At 35.2% G+C, this 22,461-nt stretch overlaps 1 long non-coding RNA gene across 1 annotated transcript in view; it reads left to right on the top strand.

The window, feature by feature from the left end:
• Positions 1-22,461, top strand: part of LINC01923 (long intergenic non-protein coding RNA 1923) — a 75,735-nt gene that overhangs the window by 16,667 nt on the left and 36,607 nt on the right. The window lies entirely within an intron of this gene.

Here is a 22,461-nt window from a genome sequence, read left to right as displayed (position 1 = left end):
CCTTTCTTAAGCAAGTATTTTTAAGACCCACTGAAGTGGAATGCAGATTAAGACTTATGCACAATTTTTTTAAATATGGAAACTACATTTACATATTCATGTCCCACCATAAGATGAGGAGGTAAAGAAGGCTGCTGTATGTTAAATTCCAAGAAGCAAAATAAACAGTATCAACATCAGGGATGCATGAATTCCATGTAAAGTATTTTATAACCATCTATATATTGTAATTCTCTAAAATAATCTTTAAAGTAACTTTAGAGTACTTAAGTTCTAGATTCTCGGGTTCCCATATATACATTGAACATTAAAGGGGATATGGGTTTCTTTTTCAAATGTTAGTCTAAATGATCAAAAACACACAAAAAAAAGGTTTAGATCAAATGACAGTATTTGAAGAAATTAAGAGATGAAGTCCTAAAGAAGTGCAGGATACAGAGAAATTATTTTTAGTTCCAGTGGTAAGATATAGGATTGAAGAAATAAGTTAGAGTTAGTCCCTAGAAGGCTAAAGAATTTGTTGGGATGGGAATGCTTCAGGGATATTAATATAACAGAATAAAATGTACCTTATATAGAAAGACCAGAGGCAGGAAGGGCAGGTGGAAGATAACAATAGTTGCCCCAGAAAAATCTGAAGTGGGGAGGGGCGTTTCTTAGAGAGAGTGTTGGTTGAAATGAATAACTAGGGGAGAGGCTGTAGACTTATAAGGAAATAAAGTTGACCCTAAGAGGTATCTGGGTATATAGAAGACAGTGAGCTAGCAACAACAATCAATCAATAGAGGGAGAAAAAACAGAGGAGGTCAGAGGTAGATGCAGATGCAGATGTGGATGTAGCTGGGCGGGACATAATCATTTCAAAGTGCTAGTGAGCAGCTATCTCACTAGCACTCACAATTTCTATCTACTTTGGGAGTCACCTGAGAACATATAATAAAACACAGAAGGTAAATGAAAATGTAAAAGACTGCAGAGCTAGAAGACAAAAAGACGTACAACCTAGTCCCTCAGAAGTACCTTGTCTAACCATAGAGAGAATAGTGCACCTTCATAACAAAACCAAAGAAAAAAAAAGACAGTAAGAGTTAAATTCAAAATGTTAGCAACACAAAGCATTTAAATGTATAAGCATTTAGTCTTTATAATATATCTCTGACTAATTTTAATAACCTAGAAATTTTGGAATTCTGAGTCATGAAAGCTGAAGGTGGTCACTGTAGAGGAGTAACTCTCAAACAAGGATGATTTTTTTTCCCTCCAGAGGACATTTGTCAATATCTAGGAATATTTTTGGTTGTCACAACTGAGAGGTACAATTGGTATCTAGTGAGTAGAGACCAGGGATGCTGCTAAACATCCTACAATGCACAGGATACCCCCACCACAAAAAGTTACATGGTCTGAAACGTCAATATGGCCAAGAAACTCTGCTATAAGTCACTTTGGTTCTTTGCTTAATATTATCTAAGATACGTGACCAGTAAAGTCCACTAATGAGATGAGCTAATATATTACCTGACTTCTATTCGAGTGCTTAAGATAGTTATTCAAGGTACAAGGAAGACACTAAAATGTTGTAAGGTAATTTCTACCATAATCAAAAGTAATATTCATGGCAATTTGTATTATAAATATGTAGTTAAGCATTTAGAATTTCAGGTATTTAAAATGTTCAACACTTTCCAGTGTAATTGTGTTTCCTACATTTCTATTTTCCAAAATTCCATCAATTAGTTCATTCCTCACAGTTCCAATCCTTTAAAATGTTAAGATAAGTTAGTAGATACAGAAATGTACCTTGGCTGACTTTATTGCTAACTTTCCTCTTTGATCCCACATAACCTCTCCAGCACTTAAATTCCACTACACTCTGATGCATATTATTTTGTTATTTATGCCCATAGATCTCTATGATACTTATTTTGCTTTTATGCAGATTTTATTTTGGCAATGCTGCTATTGTTGTGTAAAAGTGCCTTCACCTAAACCCTCTCACAATGAAGCCAGCCACAGAACAACTTAACATCTGTGATTTACGGTTTACAAGGCACTTCCATGACATCATCTCACTTTTCAGGACAGTATGTGATACCATGTGTTACCTCATAGCACATGCTACGAGTTATCACCATGTTGGGAAACTTTGGCTTAGAGATACTCTTGAAGATTGGGCCCAGACCTTGAGCCCAAGTTGTGTGATTCTAGGTCCATTTAACCACATCCCTTACCTGATTGTGGTAAACGCACCGAGTGCCCCTTCCTCCAACCTCCAGGCTCCATGTTCACAAGGCCTGTCACTGTGTCACCATCTTTTGTGACACTGCTTGTGCAGATGAAATAAAATGTCCAATTTCTGAGGCTGCTGTTAAACCTCAAAAAACAGGCTGCTTCAATGGATAAGATTTTGATTACCACACTTTTTCTGGGCAGAGACTTAAGCTAATCATTCAAATGGGGCTAAAATACTCTGTTTTAGCCAATCCATCAATTCTCAGTAGGAAATGTTAGGTTGCTGGCTTAAAATATTAAATATGACAAGATTCCATTAACATGGATTTCTTTGTTGGATATTCACAGAAGAGTTTCCATGTGAGAAAGAATTCTGCTGACATATGTCGATATTCGCTTCCACTGCTAATGAGGGGTCCCCTTGGTCTCCAAGTTTCTTAGTCTCTGTCTCTCTCCAGCACCACCAAACTCCTCTTAACATCTTGGAAAATGGGTACCGAAGTAATGGAGTCAGTTATCAACTGACAGCTCTGAGATATGACTAGAGATTATCAAACATTATTTGGAATCTTCTCTGAAACATACATGGAAAAGTGGAAAGTGTTCTTTGTAGCTGATAAGAACTCATGAAGTGATGTAGAATAGAACCAGAGAAGGGACCTTAGAGTTCAATTGTCCAACAAGCTCATTTTCAGCTGAGAAAACTAAGCCTCAGAGAAGAGAAACTTTAATATAAATCATGGTCATTGCAAATACATTTAAAATGATGAAAATCTCTCCTGTCCATTTACCTTCTGCAGATTATCTTTCATTCCAATGCAGCAAGTGCCATTTTCTCTGGATTTTTTTCCTTCTGTTGTTGACTCGTCTTTCTCAGTGCTGTAAACTTCTTGTTGACTCATCGCTGAAATGAATTATTTGTGTTTATTTAACATTCAGTCTGCACTTTTTTACTCATGTTAAATATGTGGACTCTGGGACTACCTGGATTTGAATCCTACTTTTATCAGATGTTGGATAAGAGACTTAATCTCTCTGGCCTGCATTTCCTCATCTTTAACATAGTGATAAAGTTGTAGCTACATAATAGATGTTAGAAGAGAATAAAATGAGATTATAGATGTAAGAGTGTGTGTGCGTGTTTTGTGTTTTTTTTGTGTGTGTGTACATGTGTACCAGGCGCATCAAGGCACACATGCTTAGTACCATGCCAGGCACATAGTAAATACTCAATAAATGCCAGCTGTTATTTCCAAGAATAATAGATGTAATTATCAAAATTCTGGTTCTATAATTGAATTCAATAAATAAATAAATGTCACAAACCAAGTCACCTAATTGATCACTATGTATTTCCTGGGAGTTGGAGCTACAAACATGCCTTATGAAATAGTAGCCATTCATTGACTAGCACTGTGTGCCCATCCCTGTGGCAAGAATTATTGTTGTTTTGTCCCGTTTGAACCTTACAACAATCGAACCCTGTTTTTCTGTTTGCAGATTAATAAAGTTAACCAAGTCTGAGAGGTGAAATGACTTGCCAAAGGTCACTTAGAGATATTGGAGACAAGACTGGAAACAAGAGGTGTCTCATTTCAAAGCCGTTTCCATCTAAACCACTTTGATTTTTCCTCCTCTTGAATATGCCCTGCTCTGGAAAGTGTATAATCACATTCCCAAACTATGCAGACAGAAAACAAGGGATGTGCAACATAACAGCAAAAGTTGAAGGTCCTCATCCCTCTAACTCTTCTGCCTCTTTTCTTTGACATCTACCACTTATTTGTCTCAAAGTTTCATTCCACAAAGTTTGGATTCTAATTTTAAACTTTCATGACACACCTCTTCCTGCCTAATCATATAACCATTATTATTTCTTAATTTATGTGTCATCTTATTAAAAATGATTCACAACAAAAGCATTTAAAGCCCATCATAGGTAAACTCAAAAAATTGTTTATAGTACACCAACCTTATGCTATCCATACAAAATAAAATTAAAGCATTTTATTAATGGGTTGTTGCTTCCAAAAAATCCCATACCAAGTGTACTGCCTTTGAGAATCTACAAAGACATAAAATCACATATTGTAGGCATCCCATTCTGTGGAAGATATCAATTCAAAATAGTAAGGGCTAGATTTTTTTTCTGGCAATGGAAGTTTAATAGATGTTGAATGAATGATAGAAAAAAACAATGCACTAAAAAGTAATTTTTATTACTTTTCCTTTGGTGAGGAATACTATTTAAACATACGTGTGTGTGTGTGTTTGTGTGTATGTGTGTGCATGTGTAGTATGTGTTTGCTTTTCATAAAGCCTCTAAATAAAATTGGAGAGTGTATAATCCAGGAAGCTCTAATGTCAATCTTTATTTTACAGGCACCAAAATGTATATCAGAAGAAATTGTCATTCATCATGACACTTTACATGTACTGCATTGTTTTAATAGAAAAATCTGAAGTTTCATTATGTTAATGTTGAGCAATGAAAATAAAACATCATAAAAAAATAAGCACTTTTTGGTGATTGGCTATAGCAATTTTCTGTCAGCTTCGAGCACAATAAAAGCATACTGAATAGAGATAGAACAAACACCAGGAATCCAGCAGCACCAAAAATGTTTTACTGGATCCCTGGAAATCTAGTGTTCATAAGTGCCAGCCAAATAAAATGCAACTTCTCCAGCAAAACTATGTGATAATTGTTCCAGAGAAGGATTAATAGAATAATTCTTCCTATACACCAATGCTGAAAGAAATTTATCCAAATAACATTTCTCATTCAAAGTGATGGACAAAGTGACACATTTAAAATTAAATAGCTGATGCAGGTCGAATTCAAAATAGAGGAATACTACAGAGAAAATGCAACCCAGAAGCTCATTGATTACTTTGATTTTTTTCCTTTTGTAGACAACACAAATATAGAATTGATATGTGGTATTAACAGTAGAACCATCTACCATATGATCATTGTGCAGGAAAAAAAAAGCCACAAATACAATACTGTTATAAATAAGCTTGAGTACTTTCTGTTTACAGACACTTATTTATAGAGAAATTAACTAAAAATGTAGATTGGTATAAGAGGGAAGTGCAGATTTGGCTTAATATAAAATATCTTACTCTTAAAAAGTAAACTATTTCTTATGTATCAAAATGTCCACTTTTAGAAGATTTTATTATATTCATATTTTTTCTCTTCACTTTTTGCTTAAAACTCCCTTATTACAGCAATTCTCTTTGTCATGAAACAAATATTTTTTTATGTAATGTGGTGTACTAACCAATATATAATACTTATTATACAACAAACCTATAATAAATGATCAATATTTATTAAATTGAGTTAATATTTAATACTGTCACATAAAAATCTTTCAAAATAAACCACTCTATTTGAAAGTAGATTAAACAGCATTCCCCTGCAATGTACTAAATATAAAATATCCATCCATTCACTTACAAACCACTTGAAAGAAAGGAAAGACATGACGGCTAGATTATCAGGTCAACAGTTTGCCTTCACTTTTTGCAGCAGATTATTCAGGTATAATACAATTTACAGAACATTTTCTAGGAGATGATTAAAGATGTTTTAATCTGCCTTTCCTGAGACAAGTGAGTAAATTATTGTTTAATATATCCTACCCTTGCATGAAAAAATCTTGAAATACTAGTCAGTTTTACTAAATCTTTCTATTTTGTGTCCAAGAGTTTAAGTATTGCCCAAACCCTAACTTTGTGAAACTGATTTTCCTTCCCTATCCCAATTCCTTTATATGCCAGAACAGTAACTGTCCAATAACAGCAAAAGCTGAAATAATTGCCCAAAATAGATTTATAACACCCCTTCTTGCAAATCTGGATTTTGTTTTGTTTTGTTGTTTTGTTAATGGCTGATACAAATTTTTCTGAAGACTTAAATGAATAAGCCTCTTTTAGTGAGGGTTTATAGGCAATTGGGGTTTGTATTATGTTCTATATGTTTTACAATACACTGAATTACAAGATATCAGTATTTTCCCAATCTTCTGAGAGTATCTATGTTATTACAAACTTCACAGCCTGAATATTCCTGCTTGGTTCTCTTATATTCATTTTACAGGAATGAGTACTTTCCAGTCTGCAAGAGGATAAGCATTATCTAACCTATGACATGTGAACCCTTGAAAAGAGTTCATATGATCTGCGGGAAAAAAATTAACGAGTGTCCACTTTGCAAGATTCCTAGAGTTTATTTTGGTTTCCAGGACCCCTGGATCTTTTCAGTCCTGGTGTTCATACTTCTCTGAAAACAGAGACAGTTTATGGCCAAACCACTGGCACTGCCAAGCCCTTGGCCAAACTATCTGATGGAGTTCATGAAGATCCCTCTTTGTTCTGTTGTCTGTGCAGACAACACTCACTCGACTGTGTAGAAAAAAAGTGCTAGACTGAAGCTGTGTGCACATAAGTAAAATATTGTTGAATACTGCCTAAGGAAATAGAAGAACATTATTTTAAATTATCTCGATCATAAAATCCAAGTGAAGATTTGGCAATATAGCAACAAAAAACTCAAAACCAGTGATTCTTTTAAATAAAAACAAAAATGAGAAACAGTAACTATTAGAAATCCCACCTGGTGCTTTTCTCGTGTTAATGATGCTTCTTAAATTGCATGTGGGTAAATGGTAATTTTGTCTCACACCATTAAAAACTAATGGAACCCTTGATGATAAGAAATGCCATAGCTAGCTTGTTGGAAAACGTTTAATTAATAAAGTAATAAAATTATTGTAAACTAGTGCAGTTTCAGGGAGAATTCAATGGGATATAAAACATATAAAACATCCTAGCGAGTTTGTATAGAAAATAAACATTACTATATAAAATACCATATAAAGTAAAAGGGGTTTCTGTAACATAGAATTAAAATTAGCTATTATATTAATAAAAATCGATTATTCTTTCAGGGAAAACATGCTAGAGAACACAGCCTATAAAAAGCTATTTTCTATAATTCAAGAAAAGTCAGACACAGAAAAACATAAAAACAAAAAAAAGGAATGTTAACTCTATTTTTTCATAAGTTGGAACTCAAAATTTAGGCATAAATATGTATAATAATCTTAAGATAACAAAACAATGGGTTAAAATAAAAGCAATGTTATTCTTTCACCTACCTTTTCTAAAAATAAGTTAATTCTTTAGATAAACTTCTATACTTTTTCCAGTGCACTTTACATTTTTGTCAAATATTGAAACATGTTCAAGAAGCCCAAAGGAAGACAATTTTGTCATCATTTGGGAATAAATCACTAAATAATAAATATTCTAATGACCAGCCCAGTTTTTCCACGACTCCATAGGATAGTGTTGATTATTTTCCAGTTCTCTAAATCTCCTTGGAGTTATATTATTCTAAGACTAAGTTTATAAAAGGAACAAATTTAATGTCCTCACAAACAGGAAGATTGGGAATCTTCAACCAATGCCTCAATAAAAAAGGGATTTGAAACCTTCTATTACCAGTTCCACAGTGATAAGTAAAGTTGCCTTTGTAATGGTGGTGTTGCCTATTACTTCTACAGTAACTGTAGAAGTAATACTGATTTTTAGAGCTTTATTAATTCAAATTTTCATGTATTCTTTTATATATAAGCTTAGATGTATGCATTCATTCATTAATTCCAAAAATATTATTGAGCAACTTCTGTGTTCCGAGTGCTGCTATGGGGGGACACAGCAGTGAACAAGACAGAGGTCACTCGCCTCATCCAATTTATATTCCAGTTCTGATTTCTATTTTGTTCGGAAATTGAGCAAGTTTCTCCTTCTCTAGAGACCATTCTGTAATCTGTTCCAATTGCATATGTTTTTGTCAGTAAATCCCTAATTACTTTTTATTTTTCACTTGACGTTTTATCCCTAGTTTTTTATTTTTAATTAAAAATTACTCTGCTTATAATCTTGGGAGAGGAGGTCTTAGCAAATCTCCAAATCATAAATGATAAGAAAAAGTTTGACTTCACTATGCAAAGAGCTTTTAATAATCAATAAACAAATAATAAATAACATAATTTAAAAATTAGCAAAGAACTTTAACAAGTAATTTATAAAAGAGAAAATTTAAAAGGATAATAAACATAAGATACACAGCATTATATTAAAAAATACAAGAATTTCAGATTAACATAGTCACAAGAATTTATTTTCCTCTCTGACAGAGAAAAAAAAATAAAAAGTTTATTATACCAAGGTAGGTAACAGTATGTGAAAAGATTTACTCTGAAATTTAGCTGATAGCACAACTTCTAGGTGTTAATTTGAAAATATCTATTAAAATTTAAAATATGTGCAACGTTAACTAAATGATTCTGTTTCAGAAATGTATCAAAGGGAAAAAATGGAAAAATATACAAAGACATATGTAAAAGGATATTAATAGCAACATTATTTGTCAGCTGAAAATTTAGGGGAAAAATAATAAGGGACTGGCAAAATAAATTATACAGACATAAAACAAAAACACAATTGAAGAATAGCTCTCTATATATTTGATTAGAAGGATATCCATGACACACCATGACACACTATTAAGGAAGGCAGATTATGAAAAACTATGTATAATTTGGTACCATTAAAAATATGTTGTTTGTATATCTGGAAGATACACCCTAAACTTTAATTACTGTTTCTAGCAATGAGATTATGGTAGATTGTAAGGCACTTTTCATTTTCCATTTTATATATTTCTAATTTAATTCTCTGTTGCTTTTAATGAGCATTTATTAAGTTTGCAAACAAAAAGTATAAATACTTTTATCTTTAAGAAATTAAAAAGTCATTCTATTCTCAAAGACACAGAAACCAAATGTAATTGTCTGGTTCAGTTTTCAGGATGCCAAGGTCAATTTCCTAGAGTTTAGAAAGTGAGGTGTTTTTTTTTTGTTTTTATTTTTTTACTTTTTTATGAGTTTGAAATATTCACATTGTCACAACTTACGAAAAACTTCAAATTTGTAGGATCAAATATTATACCTGGATAAAGAAAGAAAGTGCCCAATATATATATCAATATATCTTTACATACATTTCCAAAACATGGGGCAGAGCATCCCTGATCATTCAAAGCATTGCTTCTTCACAGAACAGCAAGAAAGTTCACTTCAGAATTACATCAGCATTTGCATAAGGTTAATCATCAGCCATAAATACAGATGGAGGCTTAGGATTTTTTTAATCTAGGTACCCAGCAATGCTAAAGATATCATTAGATAGGCCGGGCGTGGTGGCTCATACCTGTAATCCCTGCATTTTGGGAGGCCAAGGAGGGTGGATCACCTGAAGTCAGGAGTTCGAGACCACCCTGGCCAACATGATGAAACCCCACCTCTACTAAAAATACAAAAAATTAGCTGGGTGTGGTGGCATGCGCCTGTAATCCCAGCTACTCAGGAGGCTGAGGCAAGAGAATCTCTTGAACCCGGGAGGTGGAGGTTGCAGTGAGCCAAGATCGCACCACTGCACTGAGGCCTGGGCAACAAGAACAAAACTCCATCTCAAAAAAAAAATATATATGTGTGTGTGTGTGTGTGTGTGTGTGTGTGTGTATACTTCTATGTATACAAAACAGCTGTTCAGATTACCATAGAGTACATCCCAGCACATTCATTCTAGGAATTCACAAGAGGTATTACTGAGAAGCCATCATAATTCACAAGGCTTCTCTCTCTCCTCCAAATTTGTCATCAAGCTCAGGTGATTCTATCTTAATGTCTGTCTCATCTTTCCTCCTATTCACCCATCATCATAATGTTAGCTCCAGCTCAAGGAATTTCTCACCTGGCTTTCCGGTCTTATGACCCCATCCTTATTTCCTTCCAATCCATCCTCCTGATTGGGGTTTCTAAAAGACTGATTGAATTATGTGGCTCTCTTGCTCAAAGCCCTTTTGTGAATTCCCAAGCTTTTCTAAAATCCAACTTCCTGCTTCCTTTCTAAGACTAAGACCTCCTTGAAGGCAGAAATACATTTGGCGTAGTTCTTGGCACATAGTAAACTCTCAGGAAATTTTCGTGGGCTGACTGAATGAATGAGTGAGTGATTAAAGAATGTATCACCCTGCACCCCGGAAACCTACACATCACCAAGTATTTTCATTAATAATCATATGACTGAAAACCATCACTGATTTCCACTACTTAGTTTATAAACTAACCTTTCGTGCTCTGGTTGACCAAAGTCATTTCTAAAAAGTGAAATGAGAAGCAAATATATTCCTAGTGAGATTTTCAGGTTGAGCTTAGCACCAAAAGACCATCAGTATCCATGTTAAACACCAATTACATAAAATGGTTTTGTCATCTAACCTGATGTAGGGCTCTGAGTCCACATGCTGTTTAAGATAATGGTGTTTCTAGTGACAGTCAAACAAAAATAAGTCCTCAAAATAGGTTACGAAACTGGAGGGAATCTCTTTCCATTGCAAAATGTCTGGATCTGTGTATGATTTAATAGTAACAGCAGCTTTATGGTGTGATGAAGTTAGTCAACACATGATATAGCTGTGGATTCGAAGGAAATAAAAGCAGCAGGCAGACGGACAGATAAGCCTTGCCAAAACAGTAGGAATAAAGGAAATTCTTAACAGCAAAGATCAACCAAGAGGCAAAAGAAGATAGATAAAAAGTGATTCAGAGGCCAGCTGCAGGATGGTAGTGAGAGCTCTGAACTAGGAGTAGAGGCCATGTTTGTGTCTTGGCTTTGACCTGTAAAACGGACATATCCCCCTTGAAACCTCTAAATTGCTAGCTTTCAGTGTGTGTGTGTGTGTGTGTGTGTGTGAAAGAGAGAGAGAGAAAAGACAAGGTAAGATAACTCTTTTACAGCCACTTAAACATTCACTTAAACATTACATGGTACAATATAACTTAAACATTATATGGTACAATATAGAGAAAATGTCATTAAACATATAATTATTCAAAGAAGCATGGTTGGAAGAGGCTGCTGGTCACCTTCAGATTTTCTAATTTATACCTTCATCTACAAGTATTCTAAAGTCTGTTTCATCTCAAAAAGTTATTTTGAATGCAGTCTTTCATTGACATCTAGCTATTTTTAAACTGCCTTGTGTCTCATTTACCTAAGAGCCAAGTTTCCCAAATGAATAACTTAAAATTTTCTATTGTCTCTTATGACATTGAGGCTTCTGATCCCAATTCCCTGGCAGCCTTGGCTAATGGATGTTTTCAGTCACCATCTTTGTTCATTTCTCTATGGCTTTTGATACTTACTCACCATCTCTTTCTTGATGCTCTCTCCTTTGACTTCCATGTACTACTGGTCTTCCTGCAATATCTTTGACTGTTCCTTCTCAGTCTCCTTCACTAGTTCTTTTCTGTGTGTCTCTTAAAATTATACCCCTGCCCCCACTCCAACCAGACACACACACACACACACACACACACACACACACACAGAAAAAGAGACTTCTTGTTTCACTTTTCCTACTATTCTTGGGCAGATTATCTGAAGTGCTTGAACATACCAAGAGGAGATTTATACAAAATCTGGGTAAGGATTAACAATAAGGAGATAAATATAAACACTTAACTCTCTAAGAAGTTGCAGTTAAAGAAACTTTCTAAGAAGGTTATTGAAAAGGTGAAGGTATAAAGGTGTCAAATTCCTATCTTCTATATAACGAAATCAGTAGACAATATATAAAACTGAAAAATGAGCAGTCTGTAGTATCAGCAAGTTATTTCAAATGCAGAGGTAAACATCAGGAAAACAAAAAGTCAATCGGAAGCATTGGAAGCATTTCCCTGAGGAGGGCGAATTGTGGAAGAGTACAAGGTCTGCTAGGCAAGGGACTGCTGTTTTTCACAAGACCTCTTATAATATCATTTGGCTTTTTAAACTTCATACACATTCATATAAAAGCTGACAAGGATACTATTCCAAAGCCACCAGTTTCTTCAAATATAAAATTAGTATTTTCATGTAAAATTTGCCTAAATGAAAAAAGATAACTGGCCCCATTCCAAAGCAGACCTTCAAGAATGGAGCAATAAAACAGAAAAAAAAAATGCTAGCATGGCAGTTGAAGGAGGAGATGAAGTGAGCACTGCCATATGGAATGATAAAGAATTAACTGCATACCCCTTTTCTATTAAGCACAAAACTATATTACAATAATCAGCTCCTAAGTCTTCATAATATCTGTTATAAGCAACTCCTGTGTTTGCCAATAGGAGTTTCCTAGGTAAAATTTTATCTGCCAGTTCTTTTTTTTTTTTTTTTGGTATTAAATTTGTTCTAAATGTATTTGATTCTTAATTTAGATGTTAGACTAAATAACATGGACTTATCTTTTAGGTCATTTATGTTGGCAGATAACACATTCATTATTTATCTCTTTACATGCATTAAGCATAAGAAATCCAAACAGAAAATTGTTGATAATAAATCAAGGGGTTCATATGTATATAACACATCTTTTGCATAAAAATGCAATAGTATGAAAAGAGTAAACACTGAACTTTCCACAGACTCCTATATATTCCATATTGTACAAATCTACCATGACGCCCTAGTGTGGCATCTTGTAGAAGCCTTTGGGGCTTTGCAAGTGTTATTGGATTCCAGTACCAATAATTGGTCTAATGTATCTTCTTTGCAGGCATTCCTGATTAAAAAAACATAGAAAGACAATCCAGAGAATGGAAGGAGTAAGGAAGGAGCATTCTTTAGCAATCTCAAACTAAAAAGGTAGTCATAATCCATAAACTATTGATCCAATAGACAGAAATTTCCCTTTGTTTTAAATCAATTAACATTTATACATGAGCCATTAAAAAGCTACCATGCTTATAAGCCATTACAGTGTGTACCTATTGTATTGATTAGCATGCAGTCAGTTATTAATTAATGACATCATAACTCTCCAACCTCTTAAAGGCTTTAGTGTCTTAAAGAGACACACCACCCTGCAGAGTTAAGTACTGTATATCTGACACTCTTCATATCCTTGAGCAGAATACTGTTTTCATAGATCTTCTCTGTATCCTTCTAATGCATGTCAGCCCGTACTGCACGGTGTGTCCTCCGAAATAATCCATTGCATTTTATAAGTAAGCCATAAAAATCTCCAGAGATACAATGGTTTTAACATTATTTGTATGAGTGACAGAAGCGTATTAACTTCTCAATGCATACCCAAGATGAAAAGTGTGGTAATTTACAAGGTAGGTACAATGACTGCCTTCTAAAGCTAAATGCCTCTTTCATCCTAAATACCCTCTTACACTATTCCTAAAGTGTCCTAACAAAGCAGGGCCTAAAACTACACAAAAACACAAACTCTATAAAGTCTGTAATATCAAATGTGCTTTCTTTAATGCAATATAAACCAGAATAATACTTTTTAATACCTTTTCTTATTATCTTCAAGATGGTTGTCTCTTTAGAAAAGAGAAAAAAGTCTTCAAATATTTGAAAATGAAATTTTTAGTTCAAGCTTCTGCATGGATGTAAGAGAACTAGAATAAAATCCTAAATCATACTGTGAAGCAGTCACTTACACTTAAAATACTGCAGTCTTTTGGATAACACACTGTCACCACTGAAAAAGTCTTATTAAGTACACAATAAAGTAAAATTTACCCTAGGGAATCTAAAATCTATTAAAGAATGTTAACATCATCTCTCTATCTAAATCAAATTAACATCTGAAGAAGAAACATATACCACAGAATAACTAATTATTATTCTGCCTATCCCCTATTAATCATGGATAAGCTAGTTATCTGGTTTTCTCTCTAAAACTTTAAAAATAATACAGAAATTTAACTGACATTTCTTCTTTATTCAACTGTACTTTGTGATTTAAAAAAATATTCTCAATAGATTTACATTAAACAGGCACAAGAATGAGATCAAATCACCTAAAGTTTTTTTATTTTTCTACTGTGTTCTCTGAGGTCTTAGCAAATTACTAATTATCTTCATTCAGAATAATTGGGGGAAAAAAGGTGGAACAAGTTTGTGTTAATTAAACCTGTTGAGGTTGAAATAATGTATGAACAAATTAAGTGTGCAGAATTATCTCCTCGAGTAACATCCTCCAACATAACTCAGCCTCGAAGATGAAAGAAAAAAGCACCAAGTAAGATGATGATGGTTATTAATATTACTTTGCCTCAAAAGAGCTCTCTCTACTATTAGCCTCAAAAGAGCTCTAACCTCTCATTAAATTAGAGATCAACCTGAAATAATCTGAAATGATGGTTACAGCATGAGAGGGTAGAGTAAGAAGTTGGTTAAATAAGGCTCCTGTCTCCAGTATCTGGGCCTCAAATAGAAGTCAGGTGTATCTGCTTTTATGAAAGACTTTGGTTAACGAAACAGTTTTTTGGGGTGTTTTTTTTTAAACCACAACAAAGTTATGCTTATTTCTTCCATGAAGGAAGACATCTTTTTTTTAATAAAATTGGCAGTGAGGTTATGTGTAAGGCAAATTGTGACTGAGCCAATAATCTGTCATTCTTACCATCCAGAATGTTCACATGAAGACATAAACAGAAAAAGAAGCCACTTCATATCTAAAGAAAAAAGAAGAACACTCTTCCACAGGATCTCAAAAACTCAGATTCACACTAATCATGCTCAGAGGTGAGCAGCAGAGAAGGTATGAAGGGAGAGAGAGAAAAAATACTAATGGGGGAACAGACACTGCAAATTATTTCACAGTAGGGACATTCCTGTAAAGTCTACACAAGTGTGTTTGGTAGGCCCAGTAACACTGCTCTGGTTTTAGTCGGGACAGGAAATCATCATCACATGCTATGTGGTCCTGATGCAGATACAAACAGTCTTTTCTTCAGTAATAATAGCTCAACTTCTAATGTCCCTCTTGTCATGCAGTGGTGTCTGCAGGACCATGTCACAGACACAAGAGCCATTTCTGCACTCTGTTCAAAGTCACAACCGTGAGATTAGTAACGGATTCATTACATGAGAATGAACTCATGTTAATTCTTTCTTTGTTTTCCTCCTTTGGTACCCTGAATTCCATGATTTTAAAAGATTGTCCCTTCATTCAAGGAAAAATCCACAGGTAGTTGAAAGGTATCATTTGGTGTTTGTGTACATCTAACTGTCTCAGATAATTATAGAAATGTTGAGTAACTCTAAAAGAATACATTTGTGGGGCCGGGCATGGTGGCTCATGCCTGTAATCCCAGCACTTTGGGAGGCCGAGGTGGGTGGATCACTAGGTCAGGAGTTCGAGACCAGCCTGGCTAACGTGGTGAAACCCCATCTCCACTAAAAATACAAAAAATAGCCAGGCATGGTGGCGTGTTCCTGTAATCCTAGCTACTCGGGAGGCTGAGGCAGGAGAATCGCTTGAAACTGGAAGGCGGAGGTTGCAGTGAGCAGAGATCATGCCACTGAACTCCAGTTTGGGTGAAAGAGCGAAATTCTATCTCAAAAAAAATATATATATATATATATCTGTGTGTGTGTATATATGTATATATGTGTATATAGGTACATATATGTATATATGTGTGTGTATAGATACACTCACATACATACATATATGTATACATATATACATATATATTTGCTGACCAAAAAAAAGGAATATATATTTATATATATATGTGTGTGTGTGTATATATATATATATATATATATATATATATATATATATATATATAGTGTGTCTGTATATATGAATATATATACACAATAATTATGCATGGCATAATGATGAGGATAGGTTCTGAGAAATGTGTCATTAGGCGATTTTGTCATTGTGCAAAGATCATAGAGTGTACTTACACAAACCTAGACAATACAGCCTGCTACACACCTAGACTATGTGGTCTAGCCTATTGCTTCTGGGCTACAAACCTGTATAGCACACTCCTATACTGAACACTGCAGGCAATTGTAATACAATGGCAAGTGTTTGTGTATCTAAACATATCTAAAGACAGAAAAGGTAACACATAGCACTATAATGTTATGACAGATATGACATCACCAAGCAGTGAGGGTTTTTCAGCTCTATTATAATCTTACGTGACCACCTTCTTAAATACAATCCATCATTGACCGATCCATCATTATGTAGTGCATGACTGCATAACAAATATGGTAGTTAATTAGTTATTTGGAGCAGATCATTTTACTGGCGCTTATCTCAGATGTCAGCTTCTATGAATCCAGAAACCTATCTGCTAAAGATCTTACTTTACCTGAAAAAACAGATTGGCACTTATTTAGAAAGAATTATATGGAGTCCCTTGCTATTCTGAGGTCAGGAAGGAGCAGTGAGCTCAAAAGAATAAAGTTTTTTAAGCATCTCTTGTGTGCCAAATAATATAGTAGGTGATTTAAGCATTGGTCCCTCACAACAGGATCCTTATTTTAGAGGATCCTGAGACCCAGGGCAAAAATACAGCTCGTAAGTGTTAAAGGCTGGATTTGAACCCAGATCTTACTGACTTCAAAACCCACGTCCTCTGCATTCCACCAGTCTGCTTTACTTGCATTAAACTGGAGAGGCTACTGTGATAGTTCTCACAAAATTTCCTATAACACAGAGCTTAGTACCCTGCACCTAGGAAGAAACAGCAAGGCAAGGGTTTTTATTTTTATTGTTGCTGCTGTTAATACTGCTTTAAAGCACGGGTCAAAATTCAGACAGATTATTGTGAGACATGGCCTGCTTTGTATCATCTAACATGGGACTCTCTGACATACGGTTGGTGTCTACTATTTAACAAGCTTGTCTTCTCAGTGGTGAAGAACTTTAGTTTTCCATTAAGGCTTTGGTAGAGTTCTTCAAAAATCAGTCAAGACAAAATTGAAAGTGATTATTTAAGCCTCTTCAAAAACTTCAAACCTGAAATTTAAAAACAACAAAAATGGCAAAATTAAAATTGATAGCAGCATGAATTTTCATGTACACAAACACACCATATAGCCATGTGTGCTTTAAGGGAAATGTTCCCTGTCTTATTGAAAGAGAGGCAACTTGTTATGATTTGTGCACACTTTCATGAAATACCAAAGAGGGAAAAAACCCTCCTGTCACTTGTCAGCTAGTTCAGTCAGTGCTGCTGTAGAGGTACCATAACATATGCACGTCCCCCTTCTGAAAATGTATCAAAAGGGGCTTTGGTAAACTCCTGTACAAGCATATCATATGTGCTAAAGCCAAAATGACTTAAATTCTATTTCCTGATGGATCTGCACATCAGATGTATAACTGATTAGTGACAACTGACACAGAAACAGAGAAAATGTTCACTGTTAGGATGAACACACGATTCACAAGAAATGCTATCAGGATGGCATACTATACTTTCTGTATGCATGTAGAGTATGCTTCTCTCCTAGGAGAAAATTCTAGCCAAAGAACTTTGCCTTTTAAGTACTAGCCTCTCAAACTGACTTGGAAATATGTCTTAAAAATGCTTATCAATTTAATATGTTCATCATTAAAACCCTGAAAAGCAGCACAAACATTCCACTCTTGAGTTAAAAATAATTCATTCAGAAATATTTCTCAAATACCTATTCTGTGCAATGTGTACTTCGCCAAAGCATAAGTGACAGAAAAAAATATATGCTGGTAGCATAAAGAAGTTCAAATAGAAGTTGATCGAGTTATGCACATGGCTCATATATTGAACAATTCTCAAAGATGTCAAAAATGTCAGAGATTTTGAATGGCCCTTCAAGAATGGGTAACTTAAACCAAGATAGTATTAAAGCATCCAAGAAAAAGATAATGTTCACCATGTATATGAAAGACAAAACTGTAAAGCACCGTATTCTCTACCTAGTTTATTTTTATTTGTCTTTCAGGAAAGTCACATGGGCCTTTCACTACCCTGGGGAAAACTATGCCGCACCATTAAGTATAATACAGAATTTAGGCCAGCCACAAAACAGACTTAAGAGAAATGGTTTTCTTTCCTTCAAAAAATGTAAAAATATATTAGATGCATAATTTCCACAAGTTCTTACATTGGCAAGAAAATTATCTTATGTGCCCTTGCTTTTGTTTGATTTAAGATTTTTTTTATCTTTTCAAAAAGTTTTCCCTCCATGAATGTAGAGATGATGTATTTTACGATGCCTGCCTCACCAGGCCTGTCAATAAAATTTCAACATATACAGGTAGTTGTGTCCAAGGTCTCAGGTAGTCAAACAAAAGACAGTCCTGGATTATTATGCTTCCCACTCCCCTCTCCTGCTCCTCCCCAGCCCCTACTATTTCTAATTCTGAATAGTTTGCTTTATTTGTTTAGTTTTTCTTCCTTTGCAAGCTTACCTCCTGCCCCCCACCTACCCAGTTCCCAAAAAAAAAACTGCCAGTTTCAAGCTAGTTGGAAAGAAATGCTCTCTCTGCTATTTTCTCTGCTTGTTCAAATCACATGTAAAGATGTAGATTAAAGAAAACATCTTAATTCAGTTCGCCTAAAACAAAATGCCTTATGTGCCCATCTTAAGTGCTGCAACAACTGCCAGCCGTGAAGAGACATGAATTACTGGTTGGGGAGGGTATGGGGCCAGTCCTCTCACATCAAGTCTGCACAGGATGAAGGAGGCAGCCAAGCACAGGTAACGGGCTCACTTCTTTTACCCGATGGACTTTGGGGTAGAAGGGTATCCCTTCTTCCACGTGTATTCTAAAAACCCTTCTTTTTCCTTTCCCCTCCCCTTGCCTCCTTTTCAGGTAGTATTCTCACAAAAAGTGGCTGCAGATGCTCTTTGTGAGATGGTGACATTCCCATCCCAACCCAGGCTGCTCTGCCTGGCACTTGCTCTGTTTCCTGGGTGCCACGGCCCTTCCGAGCTCTGCTTACCCGCGCTTCCAGCCAGGATGCCAGTGCCATATTCTGATTACTGTGAGGAAGCCAGTCACTCCAGGAGGCTATGTATTTAAAGTTTTTATACCAGAAGAACTGCACATAGATAAAGATGCCTTTCATCAGCCCTGTGAGAAACCAACACCAAAACAAAACCCTGGAGCAATTGAGTCACTTTCTTAAAGTGAAAACCCAAAAAGCCAGAATTCTAGGCCTTTATATTATAGTGTCCATTCTTAGGTTCTGTTTTACAAGTAGTCGTTTTTGCATTCTTCTCTTTACAAAAGGAAGAATAAGATCATGTAGGTTTTATATAAATGTAAAAAAAAAAAAAAAAAAAAAAAAAAGCCTCTCTCTCCCGCCACTGGCACTAATATCCTTGGTATTCTGCTGTCTCTTTTGCCTGGTGTGTTTTTAGCATGTTTTCATACCCTGTGCTCAGTACTGTAACACATAATGAAGGTTTCCAATCTCTGCTTACATTATTTGCCAGGGATGGTTTACAGAAAACATAGTCAACCTATACGGAGCATAACACCTGAAGAATATATCTAACTTATGAGAAAGATGCTCACAGGAGAGACTATTGCTTTAAAAATATGTATAATAAAGTAAATCAGCTCACATGCCAATTAACAGCTTACCGGAACATTACCTTCTTCTATGTGAATTGACTGGCTTTTGCACCAGTTCCTAATGTTAATGAAGTGATAAAGAAACTGCAAAATATAAAGGATATATGTTATAAACCAACCTGTTGATATTTTGAATAAGAAAACTCCTTATACTGCACCAAGTTAAACACTAACTATAATATAATATGTGGCACAATATTCTAATGTACCAAGGAAGTCCCTTAAGGTTTAAATTCTGATGATCTATTCACTTTTGATAATTTTTATGATCTGAAGTAGTTCTCTCTCTAATATAAAACATATCTCCAACCACCTACTACTAGTTATGAAAGCCATTAAATTCTTGCAGATTGAAGGTGGAAAAATAAATTGTGTGTATTTTAGACCCTGAATGATCTTCCTATAGCAATTTTAGAACAAACTATGAAGAATTCTGCAATTTTAATCTCAGTAGCTTCCCATTACTAAACAAGCAAAGCGCCACGATACAAATGTAGACGTTACATGTCATCTTGATCTGCTGCTTTTTTCTTTCATTAAAGCTTTAATGCAGCAATTATGGCTACGCTGCCCTATAAAAAAGGAAAAGGCAGTTTACTTTAAAAAGTGAAATTGCATAGCCTACTATTTAATTATACACAAATGTAAATGGCCTATTTTTCCATAACTGGTTATTACAGCACTGTTTTACTTTCTGAGTTTTCACAATCTCTAAAACCTACAAAGCTTCCTGCTACATAATTGTTTTGTTACATTATTGTTTTCATCTTATTTTTTCTTTTAATGTGAGTGCAGCGGGATAAATCTTGGTTTTAAGCCAGCCACTACTTCATCTACTTAAGCTTTTATAGATGAAGATTGCTGTAATTATCAGAATACCCGCTTATTTCTGAAGTATTATCCTGGCAACCTGCTGGCATTTACAACCAATTAACAAGCTTTGCCATTAGTTGCATGAGGGGTATCGCAGAGTAAACCCATTGTGTGCTAATTTTCTATTTTAGATAATCAGTTTGGCCATCCAGAATAGAAAGAAAAAGAAAAGAAAAGGTTTGACACTCAGTGGCAGACATGGAAAAATTACTGCGTGCCCCTAGAGACAAAGGTATCCTGCAACTCAATGATTGCTTCCTTGCCATCACTATTGGTTCTTAAGTACTTCCCTTTGTCTCTTTTGGAAGAAAAAAAAAAGTGGAGATTCAGCAAAGTAATCATGTCCTGTCTCACACGCTCTCTGTCTTTTAAAACTGACTAGCTTCTCTTGCTGTCCTGCCCATAATTTGACCAAATTGTACAAGTGTTAAACACCTAAAAAAAAGACAGAAAGAAATTGAGCACGAGTTCTTGGTTTTCTTTTTTTTTTTTTCTAACAATGCCTTTCAACCTCTTTCCCCTCCTTCCCCCCATTGCTATTAGAGTAAATTAATGCATGGGCTTCCTCCAACCCGGCTGCCTTAAAATTAGCCTGCAAGCTGGGTTTAGTTAAAGTAGTGTGTTGTTTTATTGCTCTGTTTAAACAGTCTCTGATATTAATATGTCCTGAAGTTTGGTCTAAAGCAAGACAAGAAGGTACAGTTATGTTTTGCTCTTAAAGCTCAAGCTTCACCACAAAAGGGTAAATGGCATCATCAGAACAAGAACTTCAGTGTGGGGGCACAGGAGCCCTCTGGGGCTTATGTTCAGAAATTCTCTCTATGTTTATCTGAAAAGTTCTTCTAGGCAAAAAGCTGCCTCCTTCGCCCTACCCCCAGATGACACTGAATCAGATGCAACTCTTCTCTGTAGGAGAAAAAGCACAACATGTCATTTTAAAAGCACTAGTATTGATCAGCACCCATAGTGGCATTTGTAAAGCTCTTTGGCCACAGAGCTTCTTAAATTTCCATGCCAAGAGCCACTAAAATCATAGTGTTTGGCACCTCCAACATGAGTTAATAGGTTATGTCTATTTGCAGACGTATCTTTAGAGCAGACCAGCATACTCCTTGCTTTGCTCCTTCTCAAAGGACCCATCTAGGACAACACAGTTGTAAAGTACCCATCTCTAAGAACCTGAAGTTGCTTTAGCTGGAAATCATTGACTGCCTTCCCCTCCCCACACAAAAAAAAAAAAAAAAAAAAAAAAAAAATCTGTAAAAGAACACTCACTATCCCGTGCATCAAGTTAAAACTTCTAAAAAATCTCTTTTTGTCCAATAGTTTGGTCACAGATGCAGGTAATGAATGTGTCTAGAGACAGAGCCATACTATCAGGGCATGACACCACTATAATAGATTTTTCTATCTTCATAGTCAAATTCAAGAGTCATTATGCCATTACATTTGAACATATCTTTCCAGCAGATGAAGACATTATTATGCTTCTCACAAATACAGCTTATTGAAATCAAGAAGAGACGTTCTATTCAAGGTTTGTTACATTCTCATCCTATTGTAAAATTCTTATGAAGAAAATCCTAGCTAACTTTTCCACTTTCACAGCATGAGGACCTAAATGCTCGTGTTTTGTGCACAGAACTACACACACACGCACACACAGACACACACACACACACAGACACACACACACATGTCAGAAGTCACTTAAAAACTTGGACAGTGACAGAGAAGGAAATAAAAATGTTGGAAGTTCCTTTATCATTATTTGTATCTCTTGGATGTTTCAGACAGTTATGTTAGTTAGCCCTGTTTTATAAGTTTATATT

This window comes from Homo sapiens, chromosome 2, assembly GCF_000001405.40.
Source record: "Homo sapiens chromosome 2, GRCh38.p14 Primary Assembly".
NCBI classification, from domain to species: Eukaryota; Metazoa; Chordata; class Mammalia; order Primates; family Hominidae; genus Homo; species Homo sapiens.
Note: the sequence above shows the minus strand (reverse complement) of the source record. Positions and strands in the feature narration are given on the sequence as shown.